Source organism: Homo sapiens, chromosome 18 (assembly GCF_000001405.40).
Source record: "Homo sapiens chromosome 18, GRCh38.p14 Primary Assembly".
In the NCBI taxonomy this organism is placed as follows: Eukaryota; Metazoa; Chordata; class Mammalia; order Primates; family Hominidae; genus Homo; species Homo sapiens.
The window spans coordinates 55,581,984-55,605,557 of NC_000018.10; the positions used below are offsets into that span (position 1 = coordinate 55,581,984).

General features: G+C 41.1%; 1 protein-coding gene and 1 long non-coding RNA gene across 34 annotated transcripts in view, besides 4 other annotated features; one reads left to right on the forward strand and one right to left on the reverse strand.

Moving 5' to 3' along the window:
* TCF4 (transcription factor 4) overlaps positions 1-23,574 on the reverse strand; it is a 413,773-nt gene that overhangs the window by 359,799 nt on the left and 30,400 nt on the right. For 6 of the 32 annotated variants that reach the window (NM_001369573.1, NM_001369570.1, NM_001369574.1 and 3 more), the window contains exons 1-3: positions 6,055-6,209; positions 5,062-5,153; positions 3,297-3,369 (exon numbers count right to left, since the gene is read on the reverse strand). In NM_001369573.1, coding sequence (NP_001356502.1) covers positions 3,297-3,369; positions 5,062-5,133 — 145 coding nt within the window. In that variant the 5' untranslated portion in view covers positions 5,134-5,153; positions 6,055-6,209. Of the gene's footprint in view, positions 1-3,296; positions 3,370-3,827; positions 4,140-5,061; positions 5,154-6,054; positions 6,210-6,486; positions 6,635-7,313; positions 7,829-23,574 lie in introns of those variants that run through there. The other 26 variants (NM_001369584.1, NM_001369576.1, NM_001369577.1 and 23 more) reach the window with 8 other exon arrangements.
* Positions 198-792: an enhancer, noted in NCBI's record as "OCT4-NANOG hESC enhancer chr18:53249412-53250006 (GRCh37/hg19 assembly coordinates)". NCBI's record gives its function as "activates a minimal SCP1, AML or CMV promoter by ChIP-STARR-seq in naive H9 embryonic stem cells {active_cell/tissue: H9 hESC(naive)}" and the evidence as "EXISTENCE:reporter gene assay evidence [ECO:0000049][PMID:30033119]".
* Positions 4,171-4,246: a tandem repeat, named in NCBI's record as "transcription factor 4 repeat instability region".
* Positions 4,175-4,246: a repeat instability region, noted in NCBI's record as "repeat instability region; expansion of the (CAG)n trinucleotide repeat is associated with Fuchs' endothelial corneal dystrophy (FECD)". NCBI's record gives the evidence for it as "EXISTENCE:polymerase chain reaction evidence [ECO:0000082][PMID:9302263, PMID:26200491]" and "EXISTENCE:Southern hybridization evidence [ECO:0000078][PMID:9302263]".
* Positions 7,794-8,023: an enhancer, noted in NCBI's record as "active region_13360". NCBI's record gives its function as "activates an Ori minimal core promoter by ATAC-STARR-seq in GM12878 lymphoblastoid cells {active_cell/tissue: GM12878}" and the evidence as "EXISTENCE:reporter gene assay evidence [ECO:0000049][PMID:35858748]".
* LOC105372126 (uncharacterized) lies at positions 7,916-23,471 on the forward strand. Of its 2 annotated transcripts, XR_007066381.1 has the most exons (4): positions 7,916-7,992; positions 15,097-15,180; positions 16,955-17,007; positions 22,993-23,471. It is a non-coding gene; the product is annotated as an uncharacterized LOC105372126 (long non-coding RNA). The 2 variants fall into 2 exon arrangements; XR_935479.3 differs by lacking the exon at positions 16,955-17,007.

The following is a 23,574-nucleotide window of genomic DNA, read 5'->3' on the forward strand; positions in this document are numbered from 1 at the left end:
TGTAACAGATGTGACCAGACCTGATCTAACAAGTTCTTTAGAATGTATCATTTTAGTGGCCCAACTTTAAAACGACTTTTTAAAAAGATGTCAAAGCTAGGATGTTTATCTTTTCCTCACAAGAGTCAAAAGTAACCAAATAAACTGTCCTTCTGCTATATCAGAAAATTAAGTCCATACTCATCAATAAATTATAGACTCTTTAGATGATTTTCTTTTTTTGGTAACTTAGGTATCCTACTTTTCAATGAGAATAATTTTCCAATCATCCAGGCATGTGGATGCTTTTAGTTTGTTTTAAGATCAATGATATAACGGATATTAAATCCCTTTGTTTAAGTTACCATATAGGTTATAACTATTTCTTAAAAATAATTCCAGAGCCCACCAATTTTCCCTGTTAAGGTCATCGAAGCTCTGAACCATCATGGCTGAATTGTTTTAGTGCTTTCTGCTGAACACCTGCAAACATCAAACAAAAACTGCTAGTCCTTTCCTGGGTTGACAAAAGCCTTTCATGTGAAAAATGCTCCCTGGGAATGTCAGGCTGTAGCTCAGGTTACATTCCATTCTCCCTAGCAGCCTCACCATTTCTTAAGGTGGTAGGAAAAACCATGTTTGTGAAATGAAAGATTAAAGGGAATATGGCCACACTTTATTTTTATTCTCACATTGCAAATCACTATGGAGCATCCTATATTAATGGAATCAAAAGCTATTGGGAACTTTAAGCATGAATTATTACCATGCCTCACTTTGAAAAACCATAGCTGATTTTTCAAATAGGAACAGTCTACTTATAGTTTAGATCTTTCCTAAATCCAAGTTTCAAAGCAATCCATGAAAGGGACATCTGAGTCCACTCAAGACAATGGATATTAACTTGAGGTAAATTTAGAAAATTATTTCTCTCTCCAAAGTTTCCTAGTTGATCCTTCCAATTAAAGGGCAAAATGCAGTATTCATGATTTTTAAAATGTATTACGCTTTTTAAAAGATTTAACTCTTTTAAGTGGAAATACAACCCGTTTTCTTAACTAACAGCCCTGTGTTCAAATACTATCTTGATAGAGGAAAACTGAACACTCCAATCTGTACCCTACATATTATAATCACCATCATACTACATGAAATGAATACCCTGCATTCTCATTCAGGCTGCCAGAATAAAAGGACCATTACACTTTTTACCCTTACAAGTAAACATTTGGTCCTGAAAACACCATTTCTGGTACAACGTAACTTAAAGTTCCACACCTTCAAAATAATCACTGTGTATGCATTAGAAGCAGTGTAACATGACTTATTAAGAGTGAAGTCTCTCTCCAGGTTTGCATGCATGAACATATGTGTGTATGTGTATGTGTGTATGTGTGTATGTGTGTGTGTTATTGTCTTCAGAACTGTGTAAGTGTTGATATATCATCACTTACCAAAATGCATTAATACATATTCAACTTATTAAGCCTGTACTCTCTATAAACATTTAAACATCACAGCAAGAACTTTATTTAAATGTGAACATAGAAAATGGATCAGACATACAGTTGTCTTTTTAAATGTAACACAATCTCATATTTCTAAACACCTTACTTTATTAAATATCTAATGTAATATACTTAAGTTATTCTAAATGCATATTTTCACAACATTGCAAACTAGTTTTTTAGCATTGACTTTAAAAGTAGTCTATCTCTGTGTCTGTCTGACATAAGCTACTTTTAGATTGAAACTGAATACACATTTTTAAGTTAAGTCATAAAAAAATTACTGTCAAAAACAGTTAGTTTTGATCTTGTCTAACATGAAAAATTAATTTGCCCACAAAAGATACTTGTCCTTACCTTTACATCAAACATGCATATTAATATTTTCCATCTTAAAAGTTGCATAGAGGATACCATACAGAAATTTAAAGATATAATACTAATATAAAAACTATCCCAAATCCCTAAGTGGAAAACATAACCAGGTCCAGGATAGTAAAACACAAACATATTGTCTGTCAATGGTCCTTTTAATCAATGTGCACCAGAAAACTAAAATAAAAATACAAGAAGCATCTCACATTTTTTAAAACAAGTTATCGAGACACAAATTCCCTAAACTTAGGCAGGCAATAGAAGGAGAAGGAACTTATTTGGAAATGAGCAACTTTTAAAGCCATTAGTTTTATAAAAATATACCAATTATACAAATCACATAAGTGAACAAACTTCTTTCATTGCTATAGCACCAAATGAATATTAAAAGATGTTAAATTATATTCATAGTTGACAGACAATTCCACTGGCATCTCACAGTTAAAAGATGTCAACATTTACCAGTCTGACTTAAGAATAGTACTTGGCCTAATGTACTGTTATATACCATTGCCAGAACTCCTAAAATACTGCAGCTGTTTAACAAGCATAAATGGACTTAAGCCACGGACTTAAAGGATAGCAGGCAACAATGTATAACTTTTTCTTATTTGAAATTCATTGGATTAAAAAAAATACATTTTAAATGAATATTTTCACTCTGCACTTTTAATAAGAGATATTCGAATAGCCCTGTAATAAACCCCTCCTTAGATTCCAGATAATCACTGTGCACACAGATTCCTTTGTGAATAGTGCTAGCATCTTTTTTAAGCATCACCCAAAGATCTTTCATTTATAAAACGTAAAAGTCCTTCCAGATTTGCAACTTTAAATACAGTAAAAATTCATTGCACAAGTAAATCGTTAGGGAAAAAAAAACAGCTAAAGCATCAAAAAGGGTATTTTAAATATAAATGAATTCATATTTAGCCTCTAAGATTAGCAAGAGGCTATTTACAGCTATGGTTTACTACATAGCATTCATTTGCAGAATTAAGTGTTCATTTCTTTAAAAGGGTTAATTGTATACAGTACCTAATAAATGATATTATTTACAAGGGATTTTCCCATTTTATGAATGTTAGAGATTTTTTCCCCTTATTTTCAAATAGAAAACATTAATTTATTCCCCATGTTAACACTGGTCTTATCTTCATGTGTTTGATTACAACTGTATTAGAAAATTGCTCTTAAATTAAGTGATGGAATTTTGAGAGAGTTTCCTTGACTTAAAAAAAAAGACCTAATTTTAATCGCACAAGATAACATTTTGTGTAAGTTATACCACTGATGGGTAATGCAATAACCGTATGATTACAGGCTAAAATTCAATGACTTTTTCAGAACTCTTCAACAGAGCCAAAAACATACAATTGAGTAAATAAACAGCCCAGAACATTTAACTTAACACTAAGAAAAGAATTTACATACTTGAGCCAGTAAAATGTCCACTTGCCAAAGAAGTTGGTCCATTTTTCCCACTGCTCACAGGAGGTGAAAACATCTAAAAGAAACAAAGAAATATTACAGTTGAAAAGAAGACACTTGTGCCTTCAGAGCTCCTCAAAGATCTTTCATACTGTTACCAAACAGCTTAGAGTTTATGCTAAGGGTTTATTTAGTAAAATACATCACCATCCAACTTAAAACTAAAAGAGAAACAACATTACAGATCCCACCCCAGCCCCCATTATCACTCTGTTCTTTCTTTTTCCTCAGGTTCATTAGATGGCCAAGCAGTACTACTGCTACATTTGGAACAAACACAGTCCCCATAATGTTATCAAGATTCAGGTTGGAGGCCAGCAGCCTCTCTAGAAAAACACTAGTTTCACCAAGGAGAAGAAAAAAGTTGTTTTGTTTTATATTGAAAACCTTGGCCATAAACGTGGCAATGTCCATTTCCATCTCGTATAGGATTTGCCTGTCATATGTGAACCCAAATAAAAATAAAAGTGCCACCTGCACTAAATTCTCATTTCGTCTCTAACAGGAGAGCAATTTGAAGCAAGACTCTCTCTCTCTCTCACTCTCACTCTCTCTTTCACTCCCTCTCTCTCCAGCATTTATTTCGACCCTAATTGGTTTCCCTCTTCTTCGACGTATCTAGTGGATAATGCACACCTTCCCTGAGTCAGAGCCTGCAAAAAGCAAAGGAACGAATGGAGAAAGTGCAACAAGCAGAAAGGGGGCTGCAAAGCTGCCTGCCTAGGGCTACGTTTCCTGGCAAAACTTCCGAAAGCCATTTCTCCAAAAGAAGGTCTAGAAGAGGAGGAGGAGGAGGAGAAGGAGGAGGAGGAGGAGGAGCAGCAGCAGCAGCAGCAGCAGCAGCAGCAGCAGCAGCAGCAGCAGCAGCAGCAGCAGCAGCAGCAGCAGCAGCATGAAAGAGCCCCACTTGGAAGGCGGTTTGGATTTTATTTGTGTGTTTTGTGGATTCTTTTTATTTTGCTTTACAAATGCATCTTACACCAAACTCATCTGGCATTAAAAATGAATTCATTCTCCTGACATGTCTGGGACTTGGTTTAGGAAAAGGAAGCAAAGGGATGGAGAAGGACCAAGTACAGCCGTAAAACTCCACAAGTGTGTCAAGTTCCGCTTTGTGCTGATCCTACGACTACGAAATTTACCAAAACAGTCCAAAAGGTTCTAAAGAATGTATGCTCAGCATATCCATACTAGTTTTAAGAATCCTAGGAAAAGATGTAACTAGGAGGTAAGATGTAAGGAACAGGTCCTACCAATCCAAAGCATCATTAGCTTAAAACTTTAAAGAGACAACTGGGTCTCCTATTTTCTATTTTCCATTTCCAAAAACAATAAATAAAACGAAGAGTAGTGTGCAAAGTATTAGTAGTCTCAGTGTTCAGACATGGCCAAGTTTTAGGGGTGGTTTAGTTTTAGGGGTGTCTATTTTTGCTTTCCACTGGGGTGAGATTCCATTATTTGGGGTAATCAGTGGGTAGGGAATTGAAGGCCAGTAATAAAACTCAAAAAAAAAAAAAAGCCTGAATCTTCCATCACACCACAAAATTATAGTTAAAAACTTGTCAAAAAGACCTTCATATTTACCAAGGATTCAGCCAATTAAAAATTATTACTGTCCTTTAGATTCCTACTGGTTTCTAGCTGAAGTGTTTGGGTTTTTGTTTTGTTTTTTTCACAGCTGTTGTTAGTTTCCACCGTTCTTTCTTACCGCACTGAAATCCAGTAAATCACTCAGCTCTTTGTCCGTCCCTAAGGCAGCCATTCGCTGTTGGTGATGCATTTTAGCAAAATCACACAAACCTAGAAACATGGAAATAACCGCAATCAGAAAATCCAGTCCCAATCCTTGGAGAAAACACAATCGGATTTTTGGAGACTGGGGGGTTGGGGGTGGGGACGTGGGGGCGGGTGGGATTAAGGTGGAAAGGAGGAAGGGATGGGAGACTTGTTGTTGGGTTGGGTTTGGTTTTGTTTTTTTAAGATGGAATAGGCAGCAATAGCAAAAAAAAAAAAAAAAAAAAAAAAAAAAAAAAAAAAAGCGATATTGTATTTCCAAAGAGACGATCAAACTGGTAACATCCACTATAAAACCAAATCAGGGAAAGAAAAAAAAAAAGCCGCTCTTCAGCGCATCATTTTATGCAACAGGAGGTAGAGCGAGAAATGAATGGATCACAGAGAAAAGAGAAACTACTGAGAACGATCCGATCTCAACTTTCCCCCCACCCTGCACCCCACCCCCCTCGCACACTCACACTCGCACACGCACACACACTCGCACACACCACTCCCCTCCGCTTTTCAAAGTAGCTATCAAGAAATTAAAGATGAGCGTCTCTGGAGTGAAAACACGTCCAAAGGGGGAGGGGTGGGGTGACAGGGTTGGGGGGAGCGGAGTGGAGGGTCGGGTCCTCTAATTGTCCAGCACCCTAATTTGTGAAAGAAAGGGGTTATAAAAATTAAAGTCAGGCCCCTGGCAAAGTCCTCGGTCCCTCCGAGGGGGCATCAAGGGGAGGGGCGGGGGGGCTGGCGGCGAGGGGGAGGGAAGCGGCGGGAGGGGAAGGGGTGTCTCTTCTGGGAGCGCCGGGCGCCGGGAGCCCGCGGCGCGGGAGGCGCGGAGCCGCGTGCGGGGCCGCCGAGCCCGAACCCCGCGCCGCCGGGCGCCTCCGCCCCGCCGAGCCCCGCAGGCGCCGGTACCTACCGCCCGCGCGCGAGAAGGGGCTCTCCGTGCACCGCCGGCGCCGAGGCGGCGTTCATGTCTAACCGCCGCCGCCACCGCCGCCGCCTGCTCCTGCGCCCGCTCCCGCGCCTGCTGCCTCCCCGCCGCCGCCGCCGCCGCCGCCACTACAGATCCGCAGACACACAGCCAAGATCCCTGACTCTTAACACCAACTCTCTTCTCCGGGGAGGGGAGGGGACGGAGGGAAGGGGGGAGGGGGAAACACGCCGAGGCGCACGGAATTGCAAGTTCAGCAAAGAAATGGGTGGGGGGGCTCCGGCGGGGAGACGCGACTTGCTCCGGGTCGGGCAGGCTAGGATGCATCCCCCTCGCACCCACCCCGAGGGGAAAAAAAAAAAATCTCAACACCTCCCCCGCCTCGCCAAAAAATACAAACGAAAATTCATCGAGCACCTCATTTTTCCTCAGATCGTCAGTTACAATCTGAAGCCTGAACAGTTCAGTTTTTGCCCGTTGCATCCCTCGGAGGCACTTTGAAATTTATTCGAGTTTACATCCCCTCACTTCTTTCTTTCTCTTACTCTCGTTCCCTCTCACTCACACATCCACACACGGCAAAGCAAGTTTATACTAGGCTGCAAATACACGTGATGCAAAAAGACTTTGCCAAGAGGAACAATATTTTTCTTTTTCGTCTATAAATCAAGCCACATTTTCCTGGGGAGATTTTCGTTTCGGTAGTTTTGCGTTGGGGGCGAAATCTGAATTGCATACTTTCTTTCCCCTCCCTTTTAAGTCACAGAATAGTATAACTGCAAACTTCGAAAAAAAAAAAGGGCAATTTTTGGGGGTGGATGTTGTTTTGTTTTTGCACTTGAGTTCCTAGGCACGCTAAGTCCCTGTTCGCCAGCACTGTAAGTTTTTAATTCAACATTTACCATTATAGGCCCTGCATGCTCTTAAAACATACTTTTTCACATCACTTTTTAGGATAAAATTTAAGCTTCATAATTCTATCGTTTCGTAATAACAAGCGTGCTTTATCCGGTATATGCAACATAAGCTATTTTAACGTGTGTTTGAAAAAAAAAACACACATTCTACAAATCCTGGTATTGCTAGATGTGCGAGTACATACACAAAATGCATGCACACACTTTTTCCCATTGGCAATTATTTAATAGGTTGTCCCTTTTGTTTTAATAAAACATCGGGATCGACATTTTAAAAATTAAATTCAATTACAAACAGTTTACTCTGACGGCAAATTGAAACGTTACCTTAAATGGCCACAAATATTCTCACAATATTCCAAGGAAAGAGACTTTAAAAAGAGAGACAAAAATCTTCTGCAAGTACTTAGTATCTCACATGTGTATCCCCAAAAAGTATTTTAACTGGTACTCAGTCCTGCTCCAGGGATATCCACAGATTACAAGATTATGCACCTGGCTCTGGTTTTTGCATTTTCCACCATAAAACTGCAACAAAATTCCCTCCCCCAAAAAAGAAATCATTAAAAAAAAATCCAACAACTTTTTCTTATTGTTTATAAAAAAAAAAATGAACACAGGATAGTTATAATTTTTCCTCAAACAATTCTTGTTGGTGATTTTTTTTCTTCTCTCATAAAGTCTTAAACTTGTTCCAAGTTTAGAGGTGTCTCATCATCATCATCCTCCTCCTCATCATCATCACCATGGACTCCCCCGTGGAGTCACATTGATAATAATAGGTTTCCCTGAAAGATACATTGTAATCCATTCACATCCGGGAACTGCGGGCTTATAAAGAGAAGGAGCTGCGGCCGCGGCTGCTCCTCCAGACAATGACTGGGAAGGGGCGGGGCGGGAGCAGGCGACCATAGAGTGGTAAACAGAGCGCCTAGAGAGGCGGCCAAGATGGCGGTGCTGGTCGACCACGCCTCCTCCGGGAGCGGAGGCGGGTGGCTGTTCTCGGGTAGGCGTCGCGCGTGGGGCGGCACTGTGGGAGTTCCCGAGGCCGAGGTCGTTCGCAGGCCCCATTTCCCTGCGCTCTTATTCGTGTTGCCGCTTCTTGGCCGTCCTTGCTCTTTGACACAAAAGTGTAGTTTCGGCACAAATTTACAAATTAAACTCCACAGACTTCCGCAGGGAAGTGAGATACCCCCAGGTCTCCCTGAGGAAGGCTCGGGAAAGACTGGGCCGGCCTCACTCACAGTAAGCCTGACCCTGGGTTCTCCCACTGTGTGGAGCCAGATTTCTCAGCGAGCCTTGGGCGGCATGGGAAAAGGCCTCTGGGCCAAGTTGGTCCTAGGCTGGAAGAGGGATGTGGGTCCTCTCCTCCAACTCCCCCACCCTATCTTCTTATAGAGCGCTGGAAGTGTGTGAACTTTCCAAGTCCAAAAAGTCTTCACTTGGCGAAGACCTTCATCTATTGCTTTGTAGACTCAAATGTAGTTTGTGCCATAAGCCACGACTGACTCAACCCATTTCTGGCCAAGCAGTTACCTTCTGTAGCCTGTTTTCTGGTCTGTGTAAAGCAAATAACGCCCACTTTACGAATTTTATAGTGGATACAGATAAAGATGAAGCCACCACGAAAGAAATAATTCCTTTTCATCTCTTAATTCCTTGCTAAATCAACTGATACCGCTAACCTAGCCAATGGAATTTTAAATGGAAATTTCCCTACTCCAAAACAATAGCTTTTAGTCTTTGCAACAGAAAAGCAAGTAATAATAATGACAGATAACACATGTGTTTACTATATGCTAAACAGTGTTCCTATAACTTCACAAATACTGGCTACTTTAAGCCTAAGAATAACCCTATGGAGTATGTATTACTACTGTAATTTGTATATTGGGCAACAGAAGCAAGTAAAATTGAGTAGCTTGACCCAAGGAAGAAGTTTTGTAAGTGGTACAAACTTAACTAAGTCACACAACTATATTGAGTGACAGAGCCCACCTTTGAAACCAGACAGTCTGTGATAACAGTCCACATTCAACCATATTCCTATATACCATCTGGCAGTGGGAACATCCTAATCTCCATTTGCTGATAAAAGTTTGTGGCAGTAACAGAGTTCAGATCAATTTCGGCGATCTTTTACTTACATGTAAGTTTTTACAGAACAAGAATTAAGGCATTTATTGGTTGTTTCCTGTACATTCACACATGGTGAAGATTCCTGTCTTCCATCCCCATTCGGTGTTCTCATCTCAAAATAATATCTTACATTTAGACATTACTTTTTGCTGCATTATCACAAGCATCATCCCCAATTCTCAGAGTTAACCCCTACAGGTTCTGCTTAGATGATGTAATGAAAAGATCACAAACGTTGGGTTAGGAGAAATTCCACTGGCTCTACCTCTAGTCATTCTTTGAACTAAGGCCCAATGTCAATGTCTTTTGCTGTAAAATCCAGAGGTTAGATTAGATAATCCAATAAAACCCCTTCTAGCTTTTAGGTTTTTAAGACTCCTCATTCCGCTGAATTTCTTTTTTTGTTTGTTTGTTTTGTTTTGTTTTGAGATGGAGTTTCACTCTTGTTGCCCAGGCTGGAGTGCAATGGCACGATCTTGGCTCACTGCAACCTCCACCTCCCAGGTTCAAGCGATTCTCCTGCCTCAGCCTCCCAAGTAGCTGGGATTACAGGCATGCGTCACCCCACTCGGCTAATTTTGTATTTTTAGTAGAGATGGGATTTCTCCATGTTCATCAGGGTGGTCTCAAACCCCTGACCTCAGGTGGTCTGCCCACCTCGGCCTCCCAAAGTACTGGAATTACAGGTGTGAGCCACTGCACCCAGCCCCCTTCTGCTGAATTTCAAGGGCAATAAATAATCTATCCAGAAACCAATGATAGGATGAAGTTTGGGATCTAAAGGTATCCAATTGCTAGTCTCGTTGCTTCTTCGTTTTTTGACCCTACAATCAGAAAACCAGGGAACAACCCTTCGTATTTTAAATTTCAGGGACAAATGTGGGTGTTTTGTCTTCTTTTTGTTTTTGTTTTTCCTTAATTATCAGAGAATAAATACTTATTCTGTCACAGAATTGTCACAGAATGTTATACTTAGAAGATTGGAGGCACCTAAGAAAAGGAGAACCAAGAGGGTCCTGTGAAACTTAAATAAAAAAGGAGGGGTAGTAGGCATGTTTTGGGATGCCTCTTCAATTTGCAGACTCCCTTGCCTAGGAACCTGTTCATAAATCCTCATATAGAAGTATGTCTTAGTCAATTCAGGCTGGCCAAAATACCACAGACTGGGTGACTTCAACAGCAGACATTTGTTTTTCACACCCCTGGAGGCTACAAAGTCTGACATCAGGGTGCCGTCATGGTCAAGTTCTGGAGAGGGCTCTCTTCCTGGCTTGCAAATGATTACCTTCTCACTGAATTCTCACATAGTGGAGAAAGAGAGAGCTTTGGTCTTTCTTCCTCTTCTTATGAGAACACTAATGCCATCATGGAGGCTCCCCCTTCATGATCTCAGCTAACCCTAGTTATCTCCCAAAGACCCCACCTCCTAATACTAGCACATTGGGAATTAGGGTTTCAACTGAATTTTGGAGGAGACACAAACATTCAGTTCATAGCAAGGTAGAACTTGATGGGGGTGCCACATGACTCCTTCTTGCCCCAGCCCCACCAGCCCCAGCAGATTGGACCCCAGGAGCGAAGAGGAAGAGATTGACCGTAGCCTATGGTGAGTGATGGATCACGCCCATCTTGTAGTCAGTGGGCCAGACCTGGTCCCAGCAAGCTAAGCCATGTGAGAGCCATGGTTATAGGGAAACAAGAACCATGAGTAAGCAGAGGAAACTGCTCTTCAGATAAGAGAGAACGGTCTTGGGAGTTCCAAGAAAAGCAGACAAACAATTAAGTCCTAGAGATTCTTTCCCAATTACTATGAGGAGTCCAGTATTCCCTGTCCATGAGATTGCTAATTCCTGCAATGTTCCCCTTCCCCAGGTGAGCTAACCTAAGTACTTTTCTGATCCTTACTACTAAAGAACTTAATACAAAAAAGATTATTTACATTTCAACATTGTCAACACTGTCATTAACATTTTTTTCTAAAGTAGTGACCGCTATTCTAGGGGGTAAACTAAAAAAATTTGCTTCACTCACACATGATAGAGATCCTATCTGATTCATTGTGCCACCTATACTCAGAACAGCACAGACAAGTGTCATTCATTCCCTTTTCTGTCTCTTTGTGACCTTGGGCAAGTTTCACATTATGTCAGATGTAAAAAAAAAAAATTATAACTATCTTAAATACCTTACATGACTGGTTAAAATCAAATGAGATAATGTAAATGAAGGTGCTTTGTAAATGACAAATTTCTATCAAATATAAGGCATCATTATTGCATGAGCTGAATTAATGCCTAAAGATAATGCTTCTTTCACAGTAGTATGGAAGGAGTGGCAAATATTGATACCCCATATTTGCCACTGGATTCATAGACAAAAAACATTATATGTTGAAGGGTACTTGGTCTAAAGCCCTCATTTGTAGTTGAGAATGTCAGGGCTCAAGTGGGATGACTGGGCCAAGGTCATGTCGTTAAGGAGCGGCATAGCCAGGCAGCCCTCTGGTAATCCAGAATGCCCTACCATTCTCCTTCAAATTCCATCCAGTTTGTTCTCCCCGAGTCCCACCTGTGTTAAAATAAACAAGCAAATAGCGCCACAAACAACAACAAAAATTTCCTCTCTGATGCTCTAATGAAATTCATCCAAAGATGCAGCAAGTAATTTTTGAGCATCTACCTTGTGTCAGCAGCCATTCTCTCAGGACCTGAGGCAAAAATGTAGGAAAAAAAAAATCAGAATGAAATAAATGTCAAGGGCAGTCTTGATTGAATGGCTAACTCACAGTAAGCAAGATATAGCCTGTGGCAAATGTGTAGAAAGGGAAGACTATCCCAGCATATTTTTAGGTTGATAAGTCAAATGGGTATAACTAACCAGCTAGGACCTCAATCTGGAGCCCTACTCACACTGTAAGTCTGAGTCAGAAAGGCAGCTGGCAACAGGGATGGGGAGAGCTTCAGCCAGTTTGTGTGAAAGAAGTCCAGAGATTTATGACACACACAGTCCTCTACACACCCCAGGGCCTTTGCATATGCTGGTCTCTTAATTCTTTCCGTCACTGTTCACAAGGCTAACTCCCTGTCATCCATCCTTCTGGTCTCAGCTTAAACATCACCTCCTCCTACAGACCTTCCTAACTATTCTGTCTAAAGTAAGTACTCAATCGTATTATTCTCTGCCATAACATTAGCTTAGGGCCACTGTGCCCAAATGGGATCCTCATGTTGATGCATTTCCTTTTACATTGACCAGCTCCCTCATCAGACTGTAGACTCCATGATGCCAGAGTACATGAATCTTGTCCACTCCATGTCTCTACACCCATGCAGTGCCTGGCACATATAAAGTATTCAATAACTATATGTTAAATAAATGAATGAAGAATCTGTCTGTACCCTCAAGATGCACACTTTACCCTAAAAAGTGCAGCTTTCATATTTTTTCCAGTTTTTCTTGGGGTTTCATTTTAGCTTGATTTCATTGTTAGTAAATGTTGCTGGTGAGTTTGATTTCCAGCAGGCTACTGACTCCTGTCGCTTAAGCTCTAGACCCTAAAGATGTAAGTACAATAATTGCCTTACTTTACCAAGCCATGGGGACAGTGTCTTCATTATTTTTAATACAATACAAGGTGCTGTCATCGTACTGCTTCACTATTATAACATTTTAACATTTTACAGAGGAGGAGACTGACGCAGCCGCATATGGCAGAGCTGAGATTTAAACATAGGTAGACCATGCTTCTCCTTACAGCTCAGTGACATGTGCCATGGCTTTAGGTCATGGACAACTGCAGGGAAGATCTGCATGCGCTGAACTTTAAACTTGCAGCATACACAAGGGAAGGCAGGACCACCCAGGTACAGACAAAATACTCTCTAGCTGACAACCTCATTTCTTCTCTGGATCTCCATTCCTGCCCTAGTCTCCCACTCTGCAAGTCCTCCAAAAAATGACAAAACCCTTAAAATAGAACACTCAGACTGCAACAGAGAAAACAGTTTTATGATTAGAAGGAGCCTTCTCTGAGGCTGCCACTAAATCTTTTGAGTCTTATTTAAATTAATGTAACTTCATGGACACTAAGAATGAAAGATTGTCAAAGATGCGTTTTTCCCTTTTCCTTTCCCAAACCCTCAAAACACCTAAAAGTAGGAAAAATCAAAATTCTGCCTTGGCAGGATTACGATTCAATTCACTGTCTTTCCTCAACACCTTGTACCATTATTTCTGCATGGGTCCCACTGTGCACAATTATTGGTTTATTATGTTCTCTGTTTTCAGTGCATGTTCCCCCTTTAAAGGTGAGGAGCAGGTCTTTGTATCCTTAAGACCCAACACACTGCGTAGTGCATAAGTATTCCTCCAGGAATGACCCAGAAAATTAAGCAATTTTAGAAATCAAGTCATACATAACAGATTGATGTTTAAGATAATAAACCTTCCTTACTAGACCTAGACATATACAGAGTAGAATTTAGATTTTGCCTGCTTTTAGATGGTTTGGGAGTTTAGGAAAAGGAAAAGGAAAAAAATAAAATTTCAACAATCTTTCATTCTGAGTGTCCATGGAATTTTGGTAATTTAAAGAAGACTGAAAAAGATTTAGTACTAGCCTTCTAGAAGTTTCCTCCTAATCATAAAACTGTTTTTTCTATTGCAGCCTGACTATTCTATTTTAAGGGTTTTGTCATTTTTTTTGGAGGACTTGCAGATTTCTAGGGCCAGAATAGAGATCCAGAGAAGAAATGAAGTTGTAGGCTGGAGAGCATTTTGTCTGTACGTCGGTGGTCTCGTTTTCCCTTGCATGTGCTGAAAGTTTAAAAATCAGCATATGCAGGCCAGGTACAGTGGCTCGCCTCTGTAATCCCAGCACTTTGAGAGACCGAGGTGGGTGGATCACTTGAGGTCAGGAGTTCGTGACCAGCCTGGCCAACGTGGTGAAACCCCGTCTCTACTAAAAATACAAAAATTAGCCTCGAGTGATGACTCACGCCTATCCCGGGTACTCAGGAGGCTGAGGCAGGAGGATAGCTTGAACCTGGGAGGTGGAGGTTGCAGTGAGCTGAGATGGTGCCACTGCACTCCGGTCTGGATGACAGAATGAGACTCCATCTGGAAAAAAATCAGCACATGGAAATCTTCATTGCATTGGCTGTCACTTAAAGCTATGGCACATGTCACTGAGCTGTAAGCAGAAGCTTGGTCTACTTTTGTTTAAATCTCAGCTCTGCCATATGCAGCTGTGTAACCTTGGATCTGTACCTCTAAGCCTCTCTTTTCTCATCTATTAAAAGGGTATAATGCTCTGTCATAAAATTATTATATCAAATTAAATATAAAATACTGGCAAAAGCACTTAGCTCATTCAACAGTTGTAACCTAGTAATTAGGATACATATGCTTTAATGCCACATTTTTCATATGTCGACTAAAGTGTTAAAACTCAGGAAGTTTGGATCCATTAGCTTTTTTTCACAATGTGTGGAACCTTTAGAATCGTGCATGTGACAACAGTGATCAGATGTGCCTGAGAAGAACACGTTTCTTTAATGGTCATGAAATTGATTTAGATCAACTTTTTGTTTTTGTTTGTTTGAAGTGAAATGGCATAACGGAAAATACTAACTTGCATCATAACAAGAGTATTGCTGATTTACAAAAGTCTTGTTTCAGCTGTATAATATACAGTATAGTACATGCATACTAGGTTATCATAAAAAAAAAAGTTTATAGCCACTGCTCAAGTAGATGGGTGATATGGTTTGTCTCTGTGTCCCCACCCAAATCTCATGTCAAATTGTAATCCTCAGTGTTGGAGGAGGGGCCTGATGGGAGGTGATTGAATCATGGGGGCGGACTCCCCTTGCTGTTCTCATAATAGTGAGTGACTTCTCATGAGATCTGGCTGTTTAAACGTATGTAACCCTTCCCCTTCGCTCTCTCTCTCCTGCTGTGCCATGTGAAGATGTGCCTGCTTCCCCTTTGTCTGCTGTGACTATAGGTTTCCTGAGGCCTCCCCAGCCATGCATCCTGTACAGCCTGTGGAACTGTGAGTCAATTAAACTTCTTTTCTTCATAAATTACCCAGTCTTAGGTAGTTTCTTATAGCAATGTGAGAACAGTCTAATGCAATGGCCCTCATTGCTTTGCTAGCAAGGGTATTCATGAAGTCTATTATGGGATTATAATGGAGAGGAGAAAAGAAAGCTAATCATCTTTGCATTCTATTTCTTCTCAAACTGCATGATATTTCAAACCCGAGAGCTGCTTTCCCCCTTCCCTCTCCCCCAAAGAAAAGGAGATGGTTAAAAAGGCTGAGGTGGGCGGATCACCTGAGGTCAGAAGTTCAAGACCAGCCTGGCCAACATGGTGAAAGCCTGTCTTTACTAAAAAAATACACAAATTAGCTGGGTGTGGTGGTGTGTGCCTGTATCCCCAGCTACTCAGGAGGCCAAGGCACGAGAATCACTTGAACCTGGGAAGCGGAGGTTGCAGTGAGCCAAGATTGCAGCACTGCACTCCAGCCTGGGTGACAAAGCAAGACTCTGTCTCAAAAAAAAAAAGGTAAAAGTTTAAAAAGAGTAAATAATATAGAAGGAATGAAAGAAATTTTGGAAAACAGATAATCTTTTGCCTATTCCAAAGTGCAGTAAAATAATTGCACTTAATATATCTAATCTGGATTTTAAAATCCTCCAAAAGCTGCCCTCCAACCCCCTCCCCACCTAACTTTTCCAACTTTATTTCCATATCCTCTCCTAAAGGAAGTCTTTGCTCTAGTCAGTTAAGCATAGGACACATGACATTGAGGACACAAGACATTGAGCAGTTTGTCTATGAAAAGCACTATGCAAGGGGCAATGAAGAATTCATTCAAGATGAAAAACTGGGGCCCTTAACTTCCCAGCCTTTACATGCTAATGGGTAGGCTAGACAAGAATAAATCACCCAAACCCCTGACAAACTATATAGAGAGTTATCAAGTGGTAAAATCATGCCGTAAAACTATAATGCAAGGAGTCATTGCTATCAGCTGGAGAGATCTTAGAAGGCTTCTTAGAAGAGATGAGACTAGAGTTGAATCTGGAAAGAAAAGTGGTATTCCCATGAAGCAGATAGAGAGAAAAGAATGTCCTGGGCTGAAGCATTAACTCTGGCAAAGATGAGAAGGCTAGAGAGTAAGGATCTTGTTAGGGTTTGTGAGAAGAACCAAAAGACTAAACTGTTAAAACCCAGCAAATTTGGATCCATTGGCCTTTTTTCTATTTTGTATTTTTTATTTTTTTATTATACTTTAAGTTCTGGGATACATGCACAGAACGCGCAGGTTTGTTACATAGGTATACATGTGCCATTGGCCTTTTTTCACAATGCATGGAACCATTAGGATGATCACATGGTGGCAGTGATAAGATGTGCCTGAGAAGAACATTCTGGAGGCAACATGGAGGATGAATTAAGGTAAAAAGAAACTGAAGGCAGAGACCAGTTAGAAAGCTACTGCAGTTCACTTAACTACTGCTTATGAGATTCTGAAATAGGGCTGTGGCTATGGCCATGAAAACGAGCATTCAAGAAATGCTGTGTATAGATTAGCAGAAAAGCCATCAGGGTTGCGAAGCAATAGAAAAATCAATTCAAACTGGCTTAAATGATAAAGGGCTTGCAAATCCAAAAAGGTTTAGAGCCATCAAATACAGCTCCAGCTTCATTTCTCTACTTTTCTCTCAACTCAGCCCAATTTTATGTCAGGCTAACTCCCTCATGATACCAAGATGGCTACCAGTAAAAATGGAAGCAATCACTCTTTTGTTTGCCTCTAGACGGAGATAGCTGTTGGTGCCCCCTGAACCTTGAAACTAAAGCCTCAGCTGAGGTGAGACTGGACCATTTTAGGAATATACTTGCCTTTGACTCAAATTATGTCATGACTGGTTTACATTCATCCCTAAGTAATTATGTTGCTGAGACTCAAATCTATCAAAGCCTACCCTTGGAGCTGAGTGAAGATTATCCTACATAATACCCAAGGCTTCTCAACTGGTGGGGAGGGAAGATGAGTGTTGAAGAGAAAGCTCAAGATTTTCCAAGCTTTCTTGGCATCTGTGCTACAATGCATTTGTTCTCAGATATTTCCTTCCATGATCCAACTTCCCTCTTGCAGTTTCCCTGTGCAGGTTCCAGCCTTCCATCAAATCCACCTCAATTCTTCCCTCCCCTCTGAAGTCTGCTCTGACTTCTTGACCTTCACCCATCACTCAGTGCTCTGAACTCATTTACTTATTATACTTAACACAAAAACTTGAGAAAAAAAGAAAGCTGCAGACTGGGTGCAATGGCTCATGCCTGTAATCCCAGCACTTTGGGAGGCCGAGGCGGGCAGATCACTTGAGGCCAGGAGTTCAAGACCAGCCTGGCCAACATGGTGAAACCCCGTCTCTACTAAAAATACAAAAATTAGCTGGGTGTGGTGGTGGGCACCTGTAGCCCCAGCTACAAGGGAGTCTAAGGCAGGAGAATCACTTGAACCCAGGAGGCAGGGATTGCGGTGAGCCGAGATCGTGCCACTGCACTCCAGCCTGGGTGACAGAGTGAGAGTCTTATCGCAAAACAAAAAACTGTGGTACAATATATGTATGATAAAAAGTGAAAAACTGTACAGCTCGATAAATTTTTACTTATATATACATCAGTGTAACCACTACCCAGATCAAGATATGAAACATTTCCAACAACCCAGAAGGCTTCCTCCTTCTGCTTCATAGTGAATACCCATCCCATTGAACTTCTGTTGCCACTGATTAGTTTTGCCTGTTCTTGAACTTGGAACATCATCCAGTGGAATATATCATCCAGTGTATATTCAACTCCATGTGGCTTCTGTCACTCATTGTATCTGTGAGATTTGTCCATGTGGTTGCCTGTAGGAGAAGGCTGTTTTTTTTTATTGCTGTGTAATACTCCATTGTAGATATACAACAATTTGTCTACTCAATTTTCCCCAAAATTTAGGTTTTCCAGGTTTTGGTTACTATGAGTAGAGCTGCCTTGAACATTCTATATACATATTTTTGTGGATACAGCACTTGTTTCTTTTGAATATGTACCTAGGATACACCTATTACATGCCTAGAATTGCTAGGTCACAGATAGGCACATTTTAGTTTTAGTAGACACCAGCAAACTGTTTTCCAAAGTGGCTTTACCAATTTGCAATCATACCAGCAATGTATGAGATGAACATATTGCTTCTAATATAAATTATTATGATGTATAGATTTATATATTGCTGCTGCCTCCTCAATTAGACTCTAAACCTCTAAAGGGCCAGTACTGTCCTAGAGTGCTTCATTGTTCCAATGTCTAATATTGTGTTCTACACAGGGACAGTGGAACCGTACACATGGACTCCAATATTATCCACTTTGTCCATTCTCACGGGTGTGAACTCTGGGCAAAGGAAGGTTGTTCAAATGTGCTTTCCACCTCAGCTACACCTGGACCAGAAGTGGTCACCCTCATGTACTCCTAGGCCACAGTATACAGGCTTTGCCACCCAGATAGGTTCTTCTACCCTCTGGTGGCATTCCTCTTTGGGACCATTGGAGTGCAGTTGACTGTCCTTATTTGGGGGTTCCAACATCTGTGGATTCAACCAGCCACAGATCAAAAATACTGTATTCAAAAAAATTCTGTATTGAACATATAAGACTATTTTTTGGCCATTATTTCCTACGCAATAGAGTGTAACAAGTATTTACAAAGAATTTACATTGCATTAGGTATTACTAGTAATCTGGAGATGATTTAAAGTATATGGGGGGATGGCACTGGTTATATGCAGATACTGTGCCATTTTATATCAGGGACTTGAGCACCTGTGGAGTCTGATATCCGCAGGAAGGCCCAGAACAATCACCCTCAGATACAGAGAAATGCCTGTATATTCTTTCCAATAGACCTCAGACATGACCATGTTAATACAGTAGACAGGTTCTAACCACGTTACACACTCAAAAGAAATAAGTGCTGTATCCACAAAAATACATATATAGAATGTTCAAAGCAGCTGTGCTCATAATAGCCAAAACTGGGAAAACCTAAATTTGAGGGACAATTGAGTAGATAAATCATATAATCTACAGTGGAGTATTGTATAGTAACCAACAAGATGCCTGTCCTTCCAGAGGGCTCCTTGAACCCCTGCACCATCTGCCCACCTCTTCCCAAGTGACCAGATTCACATTCCAAAGGATCTTGGGAGAGGTGGCCTTTGAAGGAACTTAAAAGGTCTTTCTGTGCCCTTTCCCTGAGGCCCAACTGGACTTCTGATTTTACATTCCATAACTGAGAAAAAAAAAAAAAAAGGAAAGGAAAGTCTGATTCAAGCTGGGTGCGGTGGCTCACGCCTGTAATCCCAGCACTTTGGGAGGCCAAGGCGGGCAGATCACTTGAGGTCAGGAGTTTAAGACCAGCCTGACCAACATGGTGAAACCCTGTCTCTACTGAAAATACAAAAATTAGCTGGGTGCGGTGGTGGGCACCTGTAATCCCAACTACTTGGGAGGCTGAGGCAGGAGAATCACTTAAACCCGGCAGGCAGAGGTTGCAGTGAGCCGAGATCATGCCACTGCACTCCAGTCTGGGCCATCAGAGTGAGACTCTGTCTTAAAAAAGAAAAAAAGAAGGTCGGCTTCAAGGTGACAAGTATTCACCTACTCCCAAACCGGAAAGTGATTGTAAACTTCTCTCATGGAATAAAAAGGCTTCAAGTTCTTCCTCACTGTGCAACTTATAAGTCACCTGTCTAGTCATTAGGGATTTTTAAAATATAAATGCGCCAGTGTGATAATTATGGCTCTGTGATTTTCTTTCGTTTCTTTTTCTTTTTCTCACTTAACGGGATGTCATGCCATGTTTTCACATCACTATACATAGGTTTGCCGGATTCACGTTAATGCCTACAAAATATAGAAAATATATAGCACTATCACACTTACTATGTGGCAGGCACATTTTAAGATACATTTAGTTCTCAGCACCACCCTATATGGTAGGTATTATATACACTCCCATTTTATAGTTGAGGAAACTGAGGCAGAGAGAAATTAAGTAACTTGCTCAATTAAGTAACTTGCTCAAGATCATAACATTAGTAAGCTTTCAGGGTCAGGGTCAGAACCCCGGCTGTCTGGCTCTGGTATCCACGCCCTCAACTCTCCTGCCCTTGGCTAGGAGATGCCTATACCACAGCTTTTTTAGCCATTCCTTTACTAATCTTGTTCCAATTTTTAATCTTTGTTGGCATCCGCCACTGACTAGCACATTCTTGGATGCCTCTCCTGCCTCACAGTGATGTGTATTTAGGGAATTAAAAATAACTGCTATAGTAGCTTACCTCAAAATTAAAGTGATTATTAGATAGATGACTCTCCTTTTAAAAAGTGTTTCATATTCCAAATCTCAATAAAAATGACTTTTCGATTATCAGCAGCATTGGCAAGTTCACATTACATCCACGGGCCATTACCATCAATAATTGAGAACACACACACATGCTAATCAATCATTTACTCCTGCTTCCCATCTCTCTTACATGGTTTTAGATGTTGTCTATCTTAGTCTTAGAATTGAGAAACACAGGAAAATTTATCACCCTTTGTAGTCCAAAAAATTGTAATTGCAGACACAACAGAGTTTGATAAAGTTGCAAAGAGGTGGAAATTATGCTGAAAGATTTTCCAGAATCACTAGGTATGATTTTATATTATAGCAACATTTCATTGTCTACTAAAGGCAAAATTTCCGCCCCTTCCCCAGAGCTCAGGAAAAAGGGAAACCAAAATGAACATAATGTAAAATGTAATAGGTGATGCTTCCCCATTCAATTCAAGATGAAAGCTTTACAGTTGGGGGACATAGAAAGATACTAGATTTAGAGTAATATACCTGGGTTCAGATTTTACCAGCTTTGTGACCCTAGAGCAGCTTTTCTTAACCTTGGCACTATTGATATTTCAGGCTGGAAAATTCTTTGACGTGGAAGTATATCCTGGCCATTACATACAGTATGTTTAACAGCATACCTGGCTTCTACCCACCAAATGCCCGTAGTCACCCTCTGTGCCCCTCAAGTTGAGGCAACCAAAAATGCTCCCAGATATTGCCAAACGTCCCTCAGTAATTAGTCACCCTGGCTGAGATCTAGGCAAAGCTCTGAACTTCTCAGAGGTACAGTTTATCCATAACGATGAAGATTATTTTATTTGCTTCATAGAGTTATTATAAAGAGCTCATGTATTCGTACCAGTTTTATAAATTATGAATTGTTACTTAAGAATTAAGTTAGGTATTATTATTATTATTTATTGAGCTCATTCTATTTTGAAGAATGCCAGATATGATCTGAAATATAGAATTGTCAAACCCAGAATGTATTTCTGTGCATACTTCTAAGAGAGATTGTTAAAATAGTTAATAACAGGTGGAACAGGCGACACAAACTCCTCACTATTGTCCATAAACTAATAGTAAAAATGACTCCATTTCATAACCACAGGCTGCATCTCTGCTGCTGGTTAACCCATTTAGAAGAGAGCTGCTATCAACCCCAAGGGAAAACATGTACACAGAATATATAGAATAGATGCTTACTGTCCCTGTGAGCAGAGAAAAACACCACAGAGAGCATGTCTCATTTGTTAGGAGGCCAGGAGATCATGGCACAGCATGGGAACAATTCCTCCTGAGGAGAAAACAATTTCTCCGAGCTCTGGGTTGAATAGCTCTATGGTCCTCCTATGGGGCTCATCATTCAGAACCTTGAACTGCTGTGACAGATCCTCACGTCATCAATGTCGTGTCTTTGGAGCTCCCTACTTGACCCAAAGCATCCATGGGGTGGATTCCTTGCGCCATTCTTCCCATAACTGTCACTGGCACATAGAACAGTCCTTACTCAGAACAAGCGTTGGACACATTTTTATTGAATGACTGGGTAATTATTATTTTGCTATATCTTAACAACAATGATTTTTTAAAAGCACTAGATATAGATTCTGCACACAAATATTGAGGGAAAGTTTTAACTCTGCCACTTCATCAGTTTTTTGTTTTTTTTTAAAAAAAGCCGATTCTTCCCTTTTTCTGCCATTCTCCCACCCCCACCCCAGAATCCTTGGAGAAACTGCTCCATTGTGTGTCAAGGACACACACTAGGAAGTTTTTGGTTTGGGTTGGGGCAAGTTTCCTTCCTTTCCTTGTCTTCCTCTTTTTTCTTCCTCTGGTGGGGGTGAGATGGGCCTTGCTGTGCCTTCTGTTGGAAAGTTACGGAAGGGTTAAGAAAGGAGGGAGTGCAAGAGGCCTGCTTGGAACTGGCTCTGGTTCAGCTTTTAACAGAGAGGACAAAGAGGATCTTTGCTTTTAGCGCATTGCCCACCCAGTTGCAAAGAGTGAAATGTTGCAGGGATTCTGCATGGTGAGCAAATGGCAGAGTGTGTGGCAAGACCGGATCTCACTAGGAAAGGGGACAAGGAAAACCTCCACATCTCAAGTAATGGATAGATGAAAAACCAACTTCTGTAAAGGATCAGCAGTATCCTCAGTTGCAAGAGCCCCATGTCATCACCTGGGAGAGCAGAGTGGAGTTATAAGAAGGTTGGTGGTCATTGGTAATGGCTACTAGTTAGGGACAGCCTCCTACTTGCTACGACTTTTCCAGTAGAGCCAGGGGAATGGGAAGAAGTGGGGATGGTCGGCAAAATCACTGAAGGCAGGCCATTGAGGGAGGTAAGCTGACATAAGCATTGAGGACCAATCTTGAAATAAAACAATTGAAATTCCAGCCCTTTTCCCTTTTTAGGTTATTAGAAGATTTCAGATGTACAAGCACAGACCCAGGGAGGACAGCTGGAACACCTCACTGGGGTCCTGTTGAGGAGAACTGAGATTGCAGAATGGGCACCCTAAGTCACACAAGAGCATTCATCTCAAGAAAAGGGGGAGTCAAGACTGGTAACCCTGGCACCATAACATGGTCTGGAGGTTGGGCCAGGTAGCAGTGGGTGCTGGCATTAGCACAGCATGTGGCCTAGACTGAAAACCCATCATACCCAATTGCCCTGTACAGTGGCACATTTTAGGGAAATAACAGCGTATGTGTGTGAGCTGAAAGAGCCGCAATCTTGGATCCTAAGTTTGGGGCACCACTGTGGCCTGTAACGAAACTTGGTCTAGCAAGAGCATTGTACAGATGAAAAATTCCATCCGATGGTGTGAGCTGAGTTTCAAATGGTGACATTGTGTGGTGGAGCAGAAATAAAGGTCAGTGGGCTGATTAGACTCTGAGGTTCTCTCTTCTAGAGTTGGAAGGTGGACTGTTCTTCAAACTGAGTAAACTCCTGAGATATATGTTTTGGGGGAAGGAGGTGGTCTCAAGAGGCAG